The sequence below is a fragment of the Homo sapiens genome, chromosome 4 (genome assembly GCF_000001405.40).
Source record: "Homo sapiens chromosome 4, GRCh38.p14 Primary Assembly".
In the NCBI taxonomy this organism is placed as follows: domain Eukaryota; kingdom Metazoa; phylum Chordata; class Mammalia; order Primates; family Hominidae; genus Homo; species Homo sapiens.
Genome location: NC_000004.12, coordinates 169,144,198 through 169,166,110, shown reverse-complemented (window position 1 = coordinate 169,166,110; position 21,913 = coordinate 169,144,198). Strand labels below are relative to the sequence as shown.

Genomic DNA, 21,913 nt, shown 5'->3' with positions numbered 1-21,913 from the left:
AATTTTTCAATTTCAATACAGTCAAATTTGTCAACTTATGGTTAATTTAGGCTTTTTTCCCCTCCCTACACATCACTAAGGTAATTTCTTGTTTCCCCTATAAAACTTACAGTTTTAGCTTTTACATTTGAGTCTGGGATTCATCTTAAATTAATTTTTGTGTATAGTGTGAGGTAGGGGCTCAAGATTCATCCCCATCTATTCCCCATGGGCTTCTAATTGTTCTGAAATCATCTTTTGAAAAGACTTTATTTTTCTCAGTTGAATTGCCTTGACGCTTTTGTCTAGTTGTTTATATGTGTGTAGGTTTATTTCAATATTGCTTTAATTCTGAAACTATGAACTATCTTTTACATTTAACCTTATGTTTAAATTATATGAGCATCCTCTCTCCAAGGTGTTAATGTAAACACTGGACAAAACTAAAAATAGGCAATTGAATTTCACTGAGGCCTTACCTGACTCCCCCCCCCGCCTTTTTTTCTCTGAGACAGAGTCTTGCTCTGTCACCTAGGCTGGAGTGCAGTGGCACAATATTGGACTACAGGCACGTGCCACCATACCTTGCTAGTTTTTTGTTTTTTTAGTTTTTTAAGAGATGGGGTTTCACCAGATCACCCAGACTAGTTGTGAACCCCTGGCTTCAATTGATCTGCCTGCCTTAGCCTCCCAAAGTGCTGGGTTTGCAGGCATGAGCCACTGCATGTGGCTGTTACCCAACCTCTTTAATACTAAAACATGTTCTCAACACACCCCTCTCCCTTTGTGTTTCTGAATCTCCCTACTTTCCTGGATTTCTGTAGGATTAGATAAGATGCAAGCAGAATTCCTGGTACATGATCATTCCTCCCTATTTAGCTCTACACCCCAGGGTCAGGTTGGAGGCCTAGGGCAGGGCAGTGGCAAGAGAAGGGCAGATTCTTTGCCAGGAATCTGTTTTTCAAATAGGTAGAAACTTGACCTTTTCCCAGGAAATAGTCCCCATCCTGTGATGAGTCTTCAAGATGGTAACTCAAGTTACTGCAGAGAATCTTCCCAGTAAATATTCCTGCTCTCTGCAAAATACTATTGTAATTATTAAACATGTGATGAAACAGAAAACTAATATTCAAGGCAATGAGTGACACAAACTTCTTGCATTTTACTTGAGTGACTGCATTCTCAATAGCTATCTTCACTTGGAGAAATTCATAAAATTTGTTTTCTTTAATGATTTATCTGTCAGTTGGGTACTAAGGCCATCCAAGAGAAATGCCATATCAACTGCATGACTGTTTCCTCCTAACCACCAAATGAGTTTATAAGGAAAATATTTATTTGCTGTAGTTTGCTGCATAATTTGTTTCACATTTTTCAAATGCCAGCCATTTGCTTAGTATAAGACACTCAACTGCCCACTTCCAGAACGGACTATGTTTTAGTTCCAGTGTCTAGAACACAGTGAAGTTGATACCAATTTGCAGTGCCTGCTCATGTTTCCCCAGGTTTTTCTGTAGCACCTTAGCATGCCCCAGGTTTCCCAGCAGCCTAGGAAATGGTAATAAAAATGTCTCCTTCAGTATTTCTGTACCTCCCATGTCTCAGAATCAAGTGCCCACCACCTGCTGTGTACTTGGGAGGACAGTTTCAAAAAGATGGATTAGCAGTCTACCATTCATGAGGAGTTCCCAGAGACACATAAATATGTGTTTGTATATATTTTGCAATTTGTGTAAAACTGTTGAGCCTGTCAGTAGAATCATCTTTTTAGTTGCTTTTCCTTTAGATGTGTTCTTTTTCCACTTAACCTATCCACACCTTACCACTCAGTCCACTAGAGATAACTTTTGTTCTTTCATTAATTTATTCAGCAAGAAGTTTTTCACAGACACTGAGGTAGGTACTCATGATACAAAGATGCATAACACATAGTCCCAGGTCTCCAGGAGGTTACAGTCTAGCAGGAAGAAATAGGTTATAAACTGAGTAAGATAAGGGCCATGATAACAGTATTCATAAGGCACTCTAGGTGTACATAAAAAGAGCAGCACCTTCTCTAGACTTGGGTAGAGGAAGGTTGGGAGAAGCTTCCCCAAGGAGGCAATGCCTGGGCTGGGTCCTGATGGACAAGTAGTGGCTGTCACATCTGGGAAATAGAGACTGTCCTATTGACCCACACAAGAATCAGATCATTGATCTTGGCCTTATTTACACCTGATTCCAAACAACAAAAGCAGTCATCCTAGACAGACATAAAAATCCAAGTGAAAGAAATGCAGCATAATTATCAGGCACGTGATACATATACAAGGTGGGGAGGTGGAGGGAGAAATGGACTGTTCTCGATGAATTTTGGTGGAGGAGAGATGGCATGTATGAAGTTGGAGGTGATGACAGCAGACTGGTTTGCTTGCTGAGGGTGGAAAATATGAGGTGGAACAGACAATCCAAATGGAGGGCCATAAAACTCATGATTTAGACCATTAATGTGATTTAAGAGGTAATTGGGAACTGTCTCCAGATTGTAAAGACATAGGTGATGTGGACAAAACCGTGTTTCAGGAATTATCCTTGTTACTGTGGTTATAGTTTGCTGGTTTTCGTCCTACCTCTCTAGTTTCCTGTATCTCTCTTTTTTCTGCCTCCTAAATATAGGTATTTACTAAGCAATGCCCCTTAGCCCACTTTTCCTGCAACATTGCCTTTTAAACATGCTCCTGAGTGCTGCCTCAGGTTCTCCTGTACTTGTAGGAGAGGAAAATCCAGGAGGTGGGACAAATGTATTTCAGTTTGTTTTCTGTATTTTAGTTTCTAGAAAAAAACATTTAATGAAGAGTCTAATAGCATTTTTTCGTTTTGAAATTTGGAAAACTGTTGTTCATTTTTTTTTTTTTCTGGGTGTTTGAATATACTCTTGACTTCAGCTAAATTCATTATGCAAATGATTAATGATGAGAGTACAGCCCAGGGAAATTGGTAAGAAAGCTACTTTATCTACTTTCCTTTATCTCTAGTTTGTTTTTTTTTTTCTCTCCCTCTACCTTGCCCCCGAAACCATTAATGCCCCCCGCAAAACAGCAAGGCTGCTGGAGACTATAATTGACTGATTGCTGTTTGGTCAAGAGCTGAGTTAGACACTCCATTAGCGATGGTGGATTGGATTGCAGGAGCTGGGTAAGGAGAGGATGGAGGGTGTGGAGCCCACAGATGAGCGTGAGCAGGGCAGCAGACAGCACAGAGTGTGTGCTGAGGAGCCACCAAGCGCTAAAAAAGCCCAAAGGCTGGCCTTGGTCAGCCCACATTCTTGAGCTGGTATGGAACTGGAACCAGGTCTGGAATAAGGAGGGGGGCTGGCTGGCTGCAGAGTCTACTTCTGGAGAAAGCTGGAGAAAATGAGCATGCAAGAAAAGGGGACACTGGGATAGTAGAATAAAGGCAAAAAGAAGACATGTGAATGAAGAAACAACGTTTTGTCTTAATTTCTGTTTATTTGCAGCTGCCATCCTCAAAGTGCTGGTAGTTTTGATTAAAGTTAGTATGATTAGAAAATTTTATGTAGTGAATTTGGGGTAGGTGGGAGGTAGAAGATTAAGAAAATGATTGTCAGATAAAAATTCCCCAGCACAGTGCTTTCCAGAAATAAATGTTAAAGGAAAGAACAAATGAAAGATGGACTATTGTGGAATTATGGGATTCTCAGTCCCTTCTGATGTTACTTTGGAAAAATAAAACCTTTAATATTCGTCTTGGCCGTCATTGAAGTTGAAACATTAGTAGTGATGGCCAAATCATATTTGAGTGATTATCTGATGTAGATATCTTGAGAACAATACTTAGGAGTTATTAACTGTTAAAGAATCAATATTTTCATGAAATACTGTTATTATATCTTGACAGATATTTTACTTTGTAGGGAAAAGCCAACATGTTTTTTGTTGTACAAAAGACATTCTATTTTTTTTTACTTTTTTTTCTGAGACGGAGTCTCACTCTATTGCCCAGGCTGGAGTGCAGTGGCGCCATCTTGGCTCACTGCAACCTCTGCCTACTGCCTCAGCCTCGCAAGTAGTTGGGACTGTAGGCGCACCACCACCGTGCTAATTTTTGTACTTTTTATAGAGATGAGTTTTGCCATGTCATCCAGGCTGGTCTTGAACTCCCTAGACTTAAGTGATCCGCCTGTCTCAGCCTCCCAAAGTGCTGGGATTACAGGTGTGAGCTACCGTGCCTGACCCAAAAGATATTTTTAAAAAATTGTTTCTTCCACCCATTTTTCTACTTCTTACTCTGTGTGGTACTTTCTATTACTATGATTTCTTTGTGCCTCAGTTCTTTCTGGAAAGTTTCTGAAAGTCAAGTTAAAATCAGCCAGCATTGATGCCAATTTAGATATAACTGAGTTATTAAATTATACACATTTTATAGCTGTTCCCACTACAAGAGTGTCTTCTAGATTTTCTTTTTAGGAGGTCACTGAATCTTTTTTACTTTATGGAGCAGTAAGAAATGCATGAAGGAATTTGAATTTAGAGAGGCTGTCTTGCACGTACATCTGGGCATTGGCATTTAGAGTCTATAAAATAAATTGGCAGTGAATGTTTTATTTACCTGTTAGAATCTCAGCTAGTTCATCAAGTAGCATTTTGCCAGATGTATTGGAATACCGCTGATGGTATGGAAATGGAAGTCGAAAGCATTTAATCAAAAATATTTATAGGCAGATCACATGAGGATTTTAATATCTTAAAAGACAACCTGTATGTATGATTTGGAAACAAAAATTATTTGAAATGTAAAGCTGGCCCACTATCATACTTATTTTTTTAAATGAACAATATAGTAGATGTTTATCAAAATGTTTTTAGATGCAGAATTACTGTAACAGTTTGCCTGTCTAAATTGCCAAGCTTTTTGATAAAGCTGGCAGTGTGAATGACAAGCCGCAAACCCAAGGTTAGACTGCAGAGTCGGTTTCTCTTTGGCTTTCTCTCCTTTTAAGCATCCCTTTCATGTGTAGCCAAGTGAAAGTCTCCAAGTGAAATGTAAGCTCTGTGGATCCTTGGGGGCCTTGGCCTGATGAGAGGATACAGAAGAAAAGCAGCAGTTTGGAAAGCCTGCAGAAGGCTTGGAGGGCAGAGGGCCCAGTGATGACATGACTCTCAGACCTTTCGAAGGAGATGAATGAGAGGGCAGTGCCTCCATGGGCTCCAGACATATTTTATCCACAGAGTAGTCCTAGGCTATCAAACCAATTGTTTTGGCTTTATCTTTCAGATGTTGCAAAAGGAAAATGTGTTCTTTTATTGCTTTTCCAAGTCGTTTAACCGTTTATCCTTAATCATCTGCAGTCTGTGTGGGAATAAGTCTTTCAAAGATCACTGAACTTTGCTTGATTTAAAATCAGAGTAGAATTCATTTTATTTAATGTGGGAAGCCTTCTTTTTAGAAACTTGACCCAAACTGGCTTTCTAGCCTCATAGAATTTAATTGAAAAAGAATACCATAGAAAAACACAGCCAGATGCACAAATGTTTGTTCATGGGTTAGATTGTCATAAGCTTTATGATTCTTTGTGGTTATTGATCATTGAAACAATTTTAGCAGTCAAGACTTAGCAAGTTGGGGTGAATTAATGAATTTTCAGTTGCATCACGGAAATGTAACCCTAGGCTAACCATAATGTATATCACTGTTATCATAGTAAGCTTTCTCCTTGCCACTGGTCTATTTAGAATCCTTGATGATTTTAGGAACATGTAATAGATTTGTTTTGTGGAAAAGTTAATAAGTCCATTAGGCCACTGGTGTGTGGAAGTGATCTGTAAAGAAATAAATTCCTTCAGTTCCCACATCAGCATATCACAAAAAACCATATTGTGGGTCATTTGGAATTTTACAGATCTCTTCAAGGAGCAGTTCAGAATGGTTTCTAAGAGTGCTAAATCTGTATCTTGGTGCATGGGTTTGGCTGGCATGGATTTGGACAGAGTGGGCCAAACAGAGCTAATTGAGGTAGGGAAAAAAACAGGCCATAATGGTGAATAGAGTTATTTGTCACCGAGTTTGTAATGGGATTTTCAATTAATTCATGCAGGCTTCCAATGCCTTACATTAGCCCTGTCAAGATGAACTACAGCCACATCTAAAATGCCATCCCCTATTAAACGGTACATGTCAGTGAATTTGTAATTTCTTCTGTTCAACCAGAAGATGAATGGATTCTACTCAGAAAACAAATGTGTGCTTCAGAAATGCACATTTCAAAATCCTGAACACTTCCTAGGAGGAACATTCTTTGCATTGTTATACAGTGAATATGTATTAAAAATGTAATTGCTATGTGAATTCATCTAAAAGGGAAAGCATCCAGCTGTGGAGAGACAAATGCATTGTCAGGTGCCCCATTTCACTGGTAAAGAGGCTTTTTACACTGGGTAATGATGACGATGATGACAATGATGATGGTTCACACATGTAGCATGTACTGCCTGCTGGGTCATTTAAGGTGTGGCTTATATATATGAATTCACTAAATCCTCACAACAGCCCAAATGAAGAAAGAGGCACAGCGAGTTAACCTGCCCCAAATCACAGAGCTAGTAAATGGGATTCACACCCTGCAATCTGGCTCTGGAGTTTGTGCTTCCAGCCAGTACCCTATACTGCCTGATCAGAGTCTCTTTAGCTATTGTACAAGAGATTTAGTATAGTACTTGCCAGTTCTCTCTCTTTCTCTCTCTCTATCTCTCTCTCTCTGTCGATTGCTGTGTTTTACTATTATTTCCTCAAACCTATTTTTGGAAATGTTGTTAAGCTGTGATAACTAGCCTTGAAGAAATACATAATATAGTGGAGAATATAATGAGGCATCTGTGAGGGTAGAGAAAAATTAGAATTCTTCTTTCCCCAGAGTTGGACACTAATGTAATGTGACCAGAGTACACAGCGTTGTGAATGACCAGAGTTCTTGGTGGGCATTTCCTTTCTGGGCACAGCAGAATTGCTTACAAGATTAGGTCAAGGCAGAGTAGCAGAAGTGACGCCATTGGAGGCCAGATCTTAAGACAGAGTCTGAAAGTCAGAGGTCACAGGAGGGTGTCATTACTCTGGAAGGCTCAACCCCTGTCTTCCCAGGACATTGGCCTCTCAGGGAAGTTCTAATTAACCAACTACAACATCACATGGACTAAGCCAAGGCAAGATGATTGCCAATAGCATTTTGAGAGCAATAATTAATATTCCTAAACAAATGTTTAGCAAAACAAATTTGGCTTATAGGTAGTCCAGACTCTAAGTCTCTAAGTAGAAACCAAACTAATTTTTGAAAATTGTGTTATGAAGTTCTGTTGCCATCAAGGGTATAAAACTTTGATCCACTTTTTACAGGTCGGGGGGCAGACAATGATATAAGTAATGCTAACTATATTGCTCTACTTCATTGGAAATATTAAACTTAAAAAATATTCAACTAGTTGAGGCCTGTGCTTTGCACATAGCTCTCTGCCTGCCTGCCCACTTCACGTCCATTTTCCACACTACTGCCAGACTGATCTGTCCGGCACATAGGACCTAAGTCTGTTTGTGCATTAAACATGGAAATGACTTACCATTACCAGAAGAACGCAGCAATAAAAACTCTTTCATATGTTATACAAGACCCTCAATAAACTGGCCTCTGCCTACCTCTCCTTTATGTTCCGTAATTCTTATCCAGGAATACTGCATTCTTTATGCTCCCCAGTCCCGCTGCACATGTGACTTCTTACCTCCAGGTCTTTGCTGGTGCTGACCCCTCTGCCTGGAATGCCCTTACTGTTCTCTTTCATTCATTCACTCCAACCTTGACAACTAATTCCTGTGCATCCTTTAAGACTTGGCTCATGTGTCACTTCCTCCAGGAAGTGTTTCATTTTCCTACTCACCAAACACGAGAGACCTATGTTTTTTGTCCCCATAAATGGTGTGCATATCTTTATCATTACATTTATTACACTGTATTGTAGTTATTACTAATATCCTTTAAGAAAAGAACTGTCTTATTCTTCTTTAAGTCATCAGCACTTGCACATTGCGTGGTAAAAAGTAAAAGCTTGCACTGGGTGCGATGGCTCATGCCTATAATCCCAGCACTTTGGGAGGCCAAGGTGGGTGGATCATTTGAGGTCAGGAGTTTGAGACCAGCCTGGCCAACATGGCGAGACCCCATTTTGTAAAAATACAAAAATGAGCCAGACATAGTGGTGCTTGCCTGCAATCCCAGCTACTTGGGAGGCTGAAGCGTTAAAATCACTCAACCCAGGAGGCAGAGGTTGCAGTGAGCCGAGATTGCACCACTGCACTCCAGCCTGGGCAACAGAGCAAGACTCCGTCTTAAAAAAAAAAAAGAAAAAAAAAGTAAAAGCTTGATAAATGTTTTCTGGAAGAGTGAATAAATAAATAAAGACTCCAAAAGCAGGAGCCCTGTAATCTTGTTCAGGGAATTATTATAGACATGTTGGATTTGCCACTTATCTCCTGAATCAACGATATGCAACAGCGCTCAGAGAGGCCAAAGATCTTAAAGTGACAACTGATGCTCAAGATTGGGCACCCCCAATGCCGTTGAAAAGTATCATATTAATCAGTTGATGATTAAATTGCACTGGGGTTTATGTACACAATTTTAAACTTGTCATTTAAAACAGTAATGCAATGCAGGAACATTAAATTCCTCATCTCTTAGCTTATCAGCCTAACAATGTGCTCTCTTCCAGGAAAGAGCAAAGTTGAATGATCTTAGGCTGTAAAAGACCACGTGTCTATACACTTACAGATTATAAACTTGGGGATGGCAGGTACTGTGACTGTTCACTCACTGCTGTATCCAGGAGTAGACCCTCATTAAATACTCATTGAGCTCATGAAAGAGTAAGACCTACTGCCCACATTAAAAGCAATATCAGGAAGAGATTTGCCTAAAAGCCGAACTCTGATTTTTATCAACCAAGCTTAAAAGCAGTTTAGTAAATTAATAAATTTGGTTTAAATTTTTCCCCTCAGTATCTATCATTTCTCCTCAGTGTTTATCATTTATCCTGATGAATAAAGTAGTTAATGTAGGAAGTTAAGCTTGTTTTTTATGAGTTCTTGAGAGGCAGACCTGGCAGTCATGCTTTCATATACTGATAACCTCAAAGAAAGAAGGCAAAACACCCACCAAGTTAAACTTAAGAATAGAAGCCTAAATCATGGCTGGTGCATGGGTGTCGTACTGTTCTTATGTCACTATGGACAATTGTTTTGTGTTTTCTATTTATTGGTAACACATATATATTGTTTTTGTGTGAGATTTTCTTCAAGGGTTACAGTGTGGTTTTGACTTTGACTTTAAAACAATGACAACGCAGTTGTATTTTCAGAGACATTTTAAGACCATTATTTTATTAAAATTCATCCCTCTTTTTTTTTTAAAGGGTATACCTCAGTTACCATGTGCCAAAGCATTATACAACTATGAAGGAAAAGAGCCTGGAGACCTTAAATTCAGCAAAGGTGACATCATCATTTTGCGAAGACAAGTGGATGAAAATTGGTACCATGGGGAAGTCAATGGAATCCATGGCTTTTTCCCCACCAACTTTGTGCAGATTATTAAACCGTTACCTCAGCCCCCACCTCAGTGCAAAGCACTTTATGACTTTGAAGTGAAAGACAAGGAAGCAGACAAAGATTGCCTTCCATTTGCAAAGGTAAAGGTAGAATGTGCTTGTTTTCTGTTTGCCAGCTCTACCTCTGTACCCAGATACATAGAAATATAGCTCGTGTTGCCTTTTGCAAAAAAAAATACAAGTTTTGTGTGAACTACTCACTATGCTTCTGAAAATGCCTAGAAGCAGTCTTTAAGTCACAAGGAAGGTAATTTTATGCACAGACTTCTTATATGAAAGATTATCTTGGTTGATGCTCTATGTGGTATCATTTTCATATTTAGAGTCTGAATTTATTTCTAAGCCACTTTAAAGGGTGTATGCACCACTCAGGGATTTTAAAGTACTGAATTATGAATAACAAAATGAAATGTCATTACTTTCATATTTTATATGTAAAATTCTTTGCCTAAAAGCATACAGGAATATATCTGCCGAATTGATAAAATGGTTTGGAGTTTTAAGCAGAATTTTGTGATTTTTGTGGAGAAAAGCGGTAGGATGTACATTTGAGTAGGCATTTGGTTTATTTTCAGAAAATGAGGAGCATCTGAGAATCAATCTAAAACAAACTCAGGAGGCTAGGGTAGGTATCATTTGAGGTTGCAATTTGTAGATCTTAAGAGTTAGCAGCCAGCTCCCTTGCATAGGAGTTCATAGCTTTGTAACAGTTGGAAAGGACACCAGGTGGGCTGGTAGCTACCGTTTAATTCATGAAAACATTTAATCCATGTACTAAAGATATGTCATAGCATTTTTATTCATGTACTCTTTAAAACATGAGTCTCTTTATTGAAAAGGAAAATTAAATGACAAGCTTAATGGTACAGCTTAATGATCAGGTAGATTAATGATTTGCTGTTTCTTCAGGATGATGTTCTGACTGTGATCCGAAGAGTGGATGAAAACTGGGCTGAAGGAATGCTGGCAGACAAAATAGGAATATTTCCAATTTCATATGTTGAGGTAAATTAATCTGTAGAAACTTGAACTGTGTTAATATTCAGCTTACTAAATAAATCTTAATTATGCAATTTGAGTATTAAGAAGTCCTCACAACAAAAAGCACCAGGAATGCCCTGTTACAGATCACTGGACAGATCAGGAAGAATTCCTCCATCCTATCCAACAATTATTGAAGACAGTGAGATACTTGAAACTCTTTACTTTTTCTCCCTGCTAAAAGCATTCCTGTGTCTTGTTAAATGTCACTGTATGCTTATTGTCAGTCACCTACACTATTTCCTGTTTATTCCATTTGCTGGCTTTGGTGGGAGTAGAAAGTTGATAAAGTTCTTAAGTAAGATGGAGAAAAGTTTATTTGTTTATTTTTTACTTACTTCTTTGGTTACTTGCTGCATCAGCAGAACCAGAATAGTGATATGCAAAGTAGGGCTTCAATAAATATTTGTTAAATAAGTCAATGAATCTTCCTCCATCCCATCCCAGCAACTACTTAGCCCCCTTTCCCTTTTTAAATCAGCTTTGCTTGGAAAGCTTGTGGCCAAGCTTGACATAGTAAAGTCTTTTTAGAGAGTATGTGTAGTCACATAGTTGTATTACTTTAAAGAATAATACAAGCTGAACATAAAGGAGTTACAATTCATAGTAGATTTTCATTACATCATATATCATAAACTAAATGTCCTTTGGGAATAAGAATTTCTTGCTGAAAATAAAATCGAAGGCATTTTCAAAGAAGGAAGCGTGGCCCAGACAACCATTCAAGGTTAGTTGAGGCCATGGAAGGCTTCTGGTAAGAAGTGAGGTCTTAGTAGATATCTGTGTGATGGATAAATAAGGGTTAACTAAGAGACATGGAAAAGGTATATTTTATGGCAGGACATCCAGACAGGGAGACCAGCGTGTTCAAAAGCCAAAAAGTAAGAGAGAGCACAAGATTATTTGGGGAATTGAAAGTAATCTGGTTGTTTAAAATATCAAAGCACGGATCTTAAGCATGTAAAACTGAAAAACCACTGTCACTTATTTTGCAGTCTTTTTATCTGAGGCATTTGTTTTGGCATGATCTTGAAAACTAAAATGACAAACTGTATCATTGTAGCCAGCACTCAATTTCCTCCATAGAGAGTGAGATTGCCAACGTTTTCATAAAAAATCAATTTGACTACTGTATATCCATGGGAAAGTAATTCAAACCATGTATGAGTCTTGAATTTTATCCATACTCTTCAGATGTTCCTGTTTATTGAAATATTTTTTTCCTCCTTTGAAAGCAAACAACAGAAAAAAACCAAACAACCCTTAACTCACAGGCAGTCCTTCCTGTACATTATGTATATATTCTAACTGTGGGTAATGGGAAACTACAAGCACTTCCAAGCATTTGAATAGTTACACTGAAGAGCATGGGTAAGCACAGGATTAGTAATGAAAGCCTGTCTTTACTTTTTAGGTATTATCAATATTACATGCTGATACTTGGTTTGTGATGCATGAAAAGGGTTTACTATATTTTTGTTATTGGGCGAGTATAGAATTGTGCAGATAGGCATAAAAGATCCACCCATGGCAAATCCAGAGTCACTTCAAGTCACTTGACTCATCAGGATTATTTACTCTGACTTAAGTTGGAAAGATAAACTTCTGCCCAAGTAGAAAGTATTTTCATTCTGCTTCTTTTCTTTCAAATGAGCATTTTCCTCACTTGAACCAGAATCTTGCCATTTGAGATGTGGTAAACAAGCTGTCTATCTTTAGGAGCCTATGAACATTTCTTTGATGTCAAGCCATCAGATTGAACTTCCTGGTAGGGAGCAGAGCATCTAGGGATTAGTGACACCTAGTTTAGCCCTTAGGGGAATAAAGTGGAGGCAGACTTCAATTGCAACCTACTGAAATTCAACTATTTCAGTAATGTCGATTGTCTTACAGGGCATTCTTAGCTGTGGTAAAGCAAACTATAGGAATAAAAACTGGGGCTTTTTCTTAAGTAATGGTCTTTCTCTAGCTCTGTAAACCTATTCATATTTGCCCCACTTCAGGGGCCAGACAATCCCAGTATAAAAACAGGCTGCATCACAAAAATTGGTAAATAATTCTCTTATATCTTATAAATAGACATTTAAGTCTCCATCAGTGTTAGGTATTTTGCTTTTTTTGTACAGTCCTGCCAAAAACTGTTATCTCCTAGAAGTTTGGAGAAGATTGAATGAGATGATGTATCTCCAAGGGTCTGACACCACTATGTCTTATGCATAGTGGTTTGGAGCTCAGATTAGACTATCACGCAGAGGGTACCAGAGCATGGTAATAATCAAATAAAAGAACCTAACTACCATGTGTAATGAGAGAAGCTGAAACTCCCCCTCGACTCCTGCTGGCCGACTTAGGTAATGGATATGCCCAAGGAACTCTCCTAGGGCAGAAAGTCTGCACGGGATGGGCCTTGGGGTAGGATTGTGGACCTGTAGTAGAATCTCTGGGTCAGAGGTTCAGATGTGGAGCTGTGGAATTAGGAGGGAAGGTAAACTGTAAGGAGCTGAGCACTGGAGGTGGGTAAAGAGAGGATTGAGGTGGTGAGAAATGCTACCGGAATAGTTTGCCCTCTCTTCCTGTCCTCAACTATCCTTTTCTTCCTCAACATCATGTGACTGTGGACTGTGATCTCCACGTGCACTGGAGTAAGGTGATAAAATAGCGATGGTGGTACAGTGACTTGCAAACAAATCTCCTTTTTTATTTTTTGAGATAGAGTTTCGCTCTTGTTGCGCAGGCTGGAGTGCAATGGCACAATCTTGGCTCACTACAACCTCTGCCTTCCGGGTTCAAGCAATTCTCTTGCGTCAGCCTCCCAAGTAGCTGGGATTACAGACATGCACCACCACGTCCGGCTAATTTTGTGTTTTTAGTAGAGACGGGGTTTCACCATGTTGGTCAGGCTGGTCTCGAACTCCTGACCTTAGGTGATCCGCCTGCCTCTGCCTCCCAAAGTGCTGGGATTACAAGCGTGAGCCACCGCACCCAGCCACATCTCCTTTTAATAATGCAAAACACTTTGCTTATTAAAGTAGAACACAAAATTTTTCAAGGCTTGAATGGAGGAGAGTCTGGTTGGGAGAAGTGAGTAGGGGAAAGAATGGCTATATAAATGGCCCTGGATTCTTTGCCTTGGAGTCCTTGTTGAGCTCTTAAGATAAGGGTAAGGGTTCTCTTGCTTTGATCACATTCACCCTTCCCCTCCGGAGATTCTTTCAGACCTCTCTTTGGTTGAGCCTTAGAGGTTATGGGTTCTATTCAATTTAGACAGGCCCTTTCTTCACTTGTGTAAGCTGGAAAATAGTAAAGGTTAAAAGCAGTTCTTGAAGACACCATGCCATGATATGTATAAAAGGGTATATTTTTTAAGGACTGAATACAGTTTTAAAAAAACAGATTTTTAATCTGCTTCTTTGTTCAAAAACACTAGTTTTCTGTAAAATAGAAGGAAAGATTTTTAACCCTATTAATTTGGAGCTGACTCATTCATTCAAGTTTGGATGACATGATTCTTAAGCAAGCAAAAAATATGAATGAAATAAGTGCTGAATATGGAATTTTGGATGCTTCCCAAACATAATTGTGTATTGTAGGCTTACGGTGAACTATAAATTTTTATTAAGTTTCTCATTTTATTTTGATTCCTAGTCATTTGTTTGAAATATCGCCCACTCAGTTTTTCAACACCAAAAAAGTTATTTAGCAACTTGCTCCTCTGCTATAGATGATAAAAGGTAATGTGCAGAAGGCCTGAAGTTGGAGTGGCCTCATAGACAACTATTCTTACTCAGTAGTTACTGCTAGAAACAAGGGCTACATTTCTCATTTGTTTAGATCTCGTGTCAGCTGTCACTTCCTCTGACAGACTTTCTCTCACCTCATCTAAGGGAGTGCCTCCTCTTCACTTGCTGTACCCCAAACACATACTGGTGCCATAGTGGGAGAAAGCTTGGACTCTGGAGCCAGATGGCCAGGATTCCAATCTTGACTCTACTACTAATTATCTAAGTGACTATGGGCCTGGCTCTTCATTTGTAAAATAATAAGTTCCAGTGATACTTAAGAATAGTGCCTGGTACCAGCAAGAGCAATGTCAGTGATGGCTGTGATTATTATCACCATTGTTATTATTATCCCTAGAAATTATTAACCCTTTTTTCTCTCTGTGAGTATTTCCAGTTATTTGTTGATGTAGTTACTAGCTGACCCCTCACCCTCCATTTCCCCATTAGAATTCAAACTCCCAAGGGCCGGTTCCGCAGGGTCTTTGCACAGCGCCTGTAGTACGCTTTCAATAAATATTGGTTGAATGAATGAGCAACCTATGAACTTTTATAATGAAAGGTTCTAAACTCAAAACAAACATGTTTGTAGATTTTGCCAACTTCTACATTTTTCAGCTAATTCTCCCATCATTCACTGCCTATGTGTATATCTTATCATTGGTTTATCTTGGTGTTACGTCAGGATGTTACATTCTTCAGACCAGCTGGTCTATGTGACCTTAATGCAAGCTTTTTTCCTGTTTTTTTAAAAACTAGGCTATTTGATTGTACCTAGTTTAGAATTTTCCCAAATTAATGGTAGCAATACTCTATGGCTTAGATCTTGTAATCTCTACTGGTTATTTATTTCTTAAATACAGTTGTCCCTCAGTATCCACAGGGCGTTGGTTTCAGGATTCCTCACAGTTTCCAAATCTGCGGATGCTCAAGTCCCTCACATAAAATGGCGTACTGCAGTCAGTCCTCCATTCCTCGGACATGGGGCCCTAAGATGCATGTAGAGGGCCAGCTTTGTAGAGAAGACCCCCCTGGGGGTAGCGTAGGTCAAAGGATATAAAATTTTAGTTATGTAGGAGGAGTAAGTTCAAGAGTTCTATAGGGTGACTATAGTTAATAACAGTATATTATTGTATTCTTGAAAAATGCTGAGAGTGGATTTTTAAGTGTTCTCACCACAAAAAATGATACCTATCTGAGGTAATACGTATGTTAATTAGCTCAATTTAGCCATTCCACAGTGTATACATATTTTAAAACATCATCTTATACATGATAAAGATATACAATTTTGTCAATTTAAAAAATAAAATGTTAAGAAGAAAAGACTCACTGATTCTTTCTGAGATGAATTTTCACCTATTTGCAATTTCTCCTTTGACTTACTTTGAGCTGAGGTAGGACAGACTTATTGTCAAGGATCCTCACTTTTAAAATAAGTTTATTGACGTAAGTTACATACAATAAACTACACATATTTAAAGTGTACAATTTGGAGTAATTAGTTGTATTCACTTTCTAGAATCAACCATAGACAAATCATGGGAGACATTTCTCTGGCTATGGATAGAGTGTGTTATCAGCCTTAACAATGGGAAATCAAAGGGCTCAGGGAGCACAAGTGGCCTTAAAGGTGGGGGTGCTAGCTTCCTCTTCTAGGGAATGAGAGAATTGGAAGGTAATGTCTGTGTTCCAAAGAATAAGAAGTAGAAGTGTAGGTACATAGTTTGAAGTTGCCAAGGTGACCCCTGGAGGAGCTAAGAATAACAATGCTAACTTTATTTTTTAACTAAAAGCCTTTCCTCTTGAGAATAATGATAGCAGAAGGGCACAATAATAACCTTTGATCTAATAATCAAAGAGTTGATTGAACTATATAAAAAGATAGCATCATTTATACTTTTGGATATATTTTTTCCTTTAGATGTATTATTTTCCTTTAAAAATTAAAAAGTTAAATCAATGTTTATAAAAGAAATTTAGGGAGATTGTGGGTAAGTTGGGAAGAGGGAATTACTGTGTTGCTTAGCATCCAAATTTCCCTTTCAAACCTGAAGTAAATAAATTTTTGTAAGTGAAATTTAAAGACATTGTTGAGAAGTCAGTAAGGGAGAATTACTCGTTGCTTAGCACCATACTTTCATCTGTAATTCTGACTGAATACATTGGATCTGCCTTTGAGTAGCTTTTTTTTCTTTAAGCACTGTAGACTATGTCCCATGGTGTAGGTTTTCATATCTTCTGAATGCTATCCACTTGATACAAGTAATTATTGCTTTTCCTTCTGCCAGAACAATAGAAGGAAAAGGAAAAATGAGCACTGGCTCCTGAAGTTCTAAAGGCAAAAGCAGGTCTCCTCTGAGCTCCAGGAACGGCTGTTTAATAAATATGGCTAAAGACTCAATCTAAAAAGGAGTTGTTTAGGTAAGGATTTAGGGTAGTTTATGCTCCATCTATTATTCAGAGGCTTCTTTCTAATTTAAGAGTTTCTTTTTGCTTTCCATCAGGAAAACATTGAGAGAGCTGAGATTGTAAAGATCGGTTAATGTTTATGGAGTTCCCACTTCACGAATGGACAGTTTCCAGTACTCTAGGTAGTTTCATAGAACATAAAAACGCAGATTTCCTGCATAGCCATAATCAGAGGCCTAGGCTAATCACCAAATGGTATCTAAGGTCCACAATGACTCCCTAAAGAATCGCCAAGTTCTTTAACCTGGCCATATTTTGCTACATGTACCCAGGGCCCTAGTTAAGTTTACTGATAATTCCTGGAAAACATACCCTGGAACTGCTCTCTTTACAGCTCATCAGGGATATTTCTTTGTCTGTATAGAAAGCTCACCTTCAGGGTCCAAATAAATACTATCATTCCTCATGAAGCCTTTCTTCCCTAATTTTCGTATGCAACAAAACAAATTCTATGAAACAGAACCAAAAAAAACCCCCTCTCCTTGCTTTGAACTTCTACAGTACCCCGTTTGTACCATTCTTACTTGCCTGGAACATGCTAAGTGTATAATTAGGTTTGTTGATGATTTATTATTTTCCTGTGTTTCTTAGAGCCATATCTTATGTAAAGGATATTTTTAATGATTTTATTTCTACAATATAATCATGTTCCAGAACGTTTGGAAAGGAAATGAATAATCCTAAGTCTCATCGTGTATAATTTTGGTAAATATCCTTCCATTCTTTTTCCTTATGCTTTAATGATATTACACACATGATTTTGCCTCTCGCCATATAATTGTAGTACTACTAAACATCAGTTTTTATGACTGTCTAATAAACACTCTAGTAGCTAACCTATAATTTAATTATTTTTACCATTTTGTAGACAAATGTCTTGCTCAGGGGGACACAGAGCCAGGAATCGAGAAAGGAATCGTGGCCTCCACTCTGCAGTTCATCGCTTCCCTAGACTTCTGCCCTGCCCTAGTCTCAGAGCACATTCAATAACTAGCATTCCTAATGGTTGGGCAGAATCACTATTATTATCCAACTTTGCTTAAAAAGTGTATAGGGCATTTTAATGTTTCATAACAAATTATGAAACATTTCATTTTCTCACACCTAAAAGGTTAATTTTCAGAAATGAGTCACTACTCAACAATTTTAAATATCTGAGGTTGCCTTTTTATGAGAAAAATCACAAACTAATTAAAACCATGATATTTTAATGTCTTTTCAACTTTTTATTTTTATTATTTAAATATTTTATTATTGCTATATACACACTAAATTTTTCCAGTAACTAAAGCTTTAATAAGCAGAATAGATTCATTTTAATTAATCAAATGTTAAGTCATGTCTTATATCGTGTAAAAAAGACTGAATGAATATTCTATACTGGTCCAGCATGTGTGTGCATGTGTGGCATATAAATGACTTGAACAGGAGCATCTTTATTACATCAATGGGGAACAGGCTTCTCTAGAATGAAATGGAATGTTTTAGGAAAGTATTTTTCCTAAGTGTTATAAAACAACATTGCTTTTTAAAATAAAGTTTAGTGATAATGTACCTATTAGGCTTCACATATTTGTGGGGCGAAAATTCCTCCATATGTTGAGAGGAAGGAAGATCTCAAACAAACGTGCAAAGTCCTGATGGTCAATATCCTTGGTACAGTATTCTCTTTCTGTGCCAGATTCTTTCTTGGCGATCACCATTCCCCCACCCTGCCCCCATGCACATCCACACGTGCTTTAAGTATCCAGGGTAGGGGAAATACTTGTTCACTGATTTATTAGCTGATTACACATCACTGTGGAATTTCTGTCAGTGTGTCATTTCACATTGACAAATTTTCACTTAGAATTAATGACAATTCCATGTTCATAACCTCCTGAGATACATGTATATTTCTTTTATAGTATCCCTACATCTGGTAATCAGGTTGTAGAAAATAAAATTTGTCATTGGAATGATACTTTTGGCTAACAGACATTTCTGATTTATGGTGTGCATTCAGTGAACAAATATGTAATGGAAACATATATATAAAACTTCATGTATTGTCAGAACCAGTAAACACAGTGAAGTGAACTGAGACCAATTTAAAAATTATCCATTGGTCTCTCTCCCCAGCACCATGAATAGACTGTACATCTGTTGCTCCAAAAGTAATAGGTATTTGTACCTCTTTATACTTAATTTTCAGGGTTGAACTTTTAAATTTGTATGCACATTCACTGTTCACAGTTGGGAAGGGTTTTTCTTCCTTTGCGGTTGCTGTCTTCTCTGCCTAGGCCTTTCATCCTCCAGGAACTTGGTCACATCTATTATATCTTTACTGTTTTGCATGTCAGTTATTCCCTTTCCCCTGGCTATCCTTTAATATAGGAAAATGATCAGCTTTTTACGCTCCCCAAAAGCCTATTCCTTGACTACACTCCCCTCAAATTATGATTCTACCTTTTTTCTTACTTCTGCTAAACTTCTCAAGAGAATCGCTTACCCCTGCTCTCTGCCTCTGCTTTCTTACTCCCTGCAGTTAGTGTTAGCCTCTGGTCACTCCAGTCTCTGAAATTTTCCTCCTGTTTGCTACGAACTGACTTTTCTTAGCTCTTGTTTTTGTCATTTTGTCCTCTCAATAACATCTACCACTATTCTTTTTTAAAAATATATTTTTTAGGCCGGGTGGTGGCTCACACCTGTAATCCCAGCACTTTGGGAGGCTGAGGCAGGTGGATCACAAGTTCAGGAGTTCGAGACCAGCCTGACCAACATGGTGAAACCCTGTCTCTACTAAAAATACAAAAATAAGCTGGGCGTGGTGGCATGCGCCTGTAATACCAGCTACTCAGGAGGCTGAGGCAGGAGAATTGCTTGAACCCAGGAGGCAGAGGTTGCAGCAAGCTGAGATAGCGCCACTGCACTGCAGCCTGGGCTACAGAGCGAGACTTGGTCTCAAAAAAAAAAAAAAAGTATATATATAAAACATATAATATATAGATTTTATAATATTTTATATAGAATATATAATATATAGATATATAATATTTTATATAGAATATATAGATATATAATATATAGAATATATAGAATATATAACATTTTATATAGAATATATAGAATATATAATATTTTATATAGAATATATAATATTTTATATAGAATATATAGAATATGTAATATTTTATATAGAATATATAGAATATGTAATATTTTATATAGAATAATATATAGAATATGTAATATTTTATATAGAATAATATATAGAATATGTAATATTTTATATAGAATAATATATAGAATATGTAATATTTTATATAGAATAATATATAGAATACATATTTTATATAGAATAATATATAGAATACATATTTTATATAGAATAATATATAGAATATATATTTTATATAGAATAATATATAGAATATATAATATTTTATATATTTTATATAGTTTTTAGACCAGGCGGTGGCTCACACCTGTAATCCCAGCACTTTGGGAGGCTGAGGCAGGTGGATCACGAGGTCAGGAGTTCGAGACCAGCCTGACCAACATTATTATATATGTATGTATATATAATTATTATATATAATATATATAATATGACCATTATTATATATGATATATAATATATATATATTTTTACAGATTCGGGGGGTACATGTGCTGGTTTATTACATTGGTATTACATGCATATTGGTGAGGTTTGGGCTTTTAATGTACCTATCACTCACATGGTGAACATCGTACCCAATAGGTAAATTTTCAACCTTCACCTGCCTCTCATCTTCCCACTTTTGGCATCCTCAGTGTCTGTTATTTCCATCTTTAAGTCCACTTATAAGTGGGAAAATGCAGTATTTGATTTTCTGTTTCTGAGTGATTTCACTTAGGATAATGACCTCCAGCTCCATCCATGTTGCTGCAAAAGACATTATTTCTCTCTTTTTTATGGCTGCATAATATCCTTTGTTGCATTTATATCACATTTTCTTTATCCAGTAGACCGTTGATGGACACTCAGGTTGATTTCGTGACTTTGCTATTGTGAATAGTGCTGCAATAAACGTACAAGTACAGGTTTCTTTTTAGTAAAATGATTTCTTTTCCTTTGGGTATATACCCAGTAGTGGAATTGCTGGGTTAAGTACACTATTCTTAATCTCTCTGAAACTCTTTGCCTTTTTCATTTCTGGGTCGTTGGTTGGATGGTTGGCCTGGGAAACTTTGCAAGGTCTTCTTGTGGATTCTGAGATTCTGAGGGCCTTTTGCTTTTCCTCTTACCCCTACTATTTTCTTCTCTATTATTTCTTCCCTAAATCAGAGATCACCAACTAGTACGATCCCCATGACTTTTATGCTTGACTTAGAGTGGTTTTTAAAAATTAGTTGTTAAGATGTAAACTCAGGAGGTTTTACATAAGCTTTCCTTAAAAAAAAAAATCAGTTGACCCTGCCAAGTAGTTGCCCATTGAAAGAAAGCAGACAGTCCCCAGTTGACCATAGTTCACTATAGTGTGCCTGCCATTCTCTGTTGGTCTCTATCTGGCCTTCTTCATTCATTGACCTCAACTGCCCAAGCTATGCAGACACGTGAATTTGTGCCTCCTATCCTTAATCCATCATGCTGTTTCTTAGGTTTTCTTTTATCATGAGTCAGAAAAGATGTGTCTCTGTTTCCCTATTTCCCTCATTTAGTACTGTGCCTGGCTTTTAACAGTCACTCAAAAAACATTTGGGTGAGTAAAAGGCTCCATTAGGTTTGATTCTGGTCACTGAATACCTGAGGACCCTATTCCCAACACAGAAGTCTTTGCCTATTGAATATTTTGAATGGGATATTTTTGTTTGGGTTGAGAATAGGTATTGTACTTTACCTAGGCATAAAATTTTACAGATCATTAAGTCTTGCTTCATGTTACAAATGAGAAATGGGAGGCATACCCAAGGTCAAATGACTTGCCCAAGTCAACAAAGCAAGTTAATGGCAAGCTGGGACTCTGAATA

General features: G+C 37.7%; 1 protein-coding gene across 1 annotated transcript in view; it reads left to right on the top strand.

Moving 5' to 3' along the window:
* The window catches only part of SH3RF1 (SH3 domain containing ring finger 1), a 176,698-nt gene that overhangs the window by 104,846 nt on the left and 49,939 nt on the right, over positions 1-21,913 (top strand). Inside the window, exons 3-4 of the mRNA NM_020870.4 lie at positions 9,432-9,707; positions 10,536-10,631. Coding sequence (NP_065921.2) covers positions 9,432-9,707; positions 10,536-10,631 — 372 coding nt within the window. The remainder of the gene's footprint in view (positions 1-9,431; positions 9,708-10,535; positions 10,632-21,913) is intronic.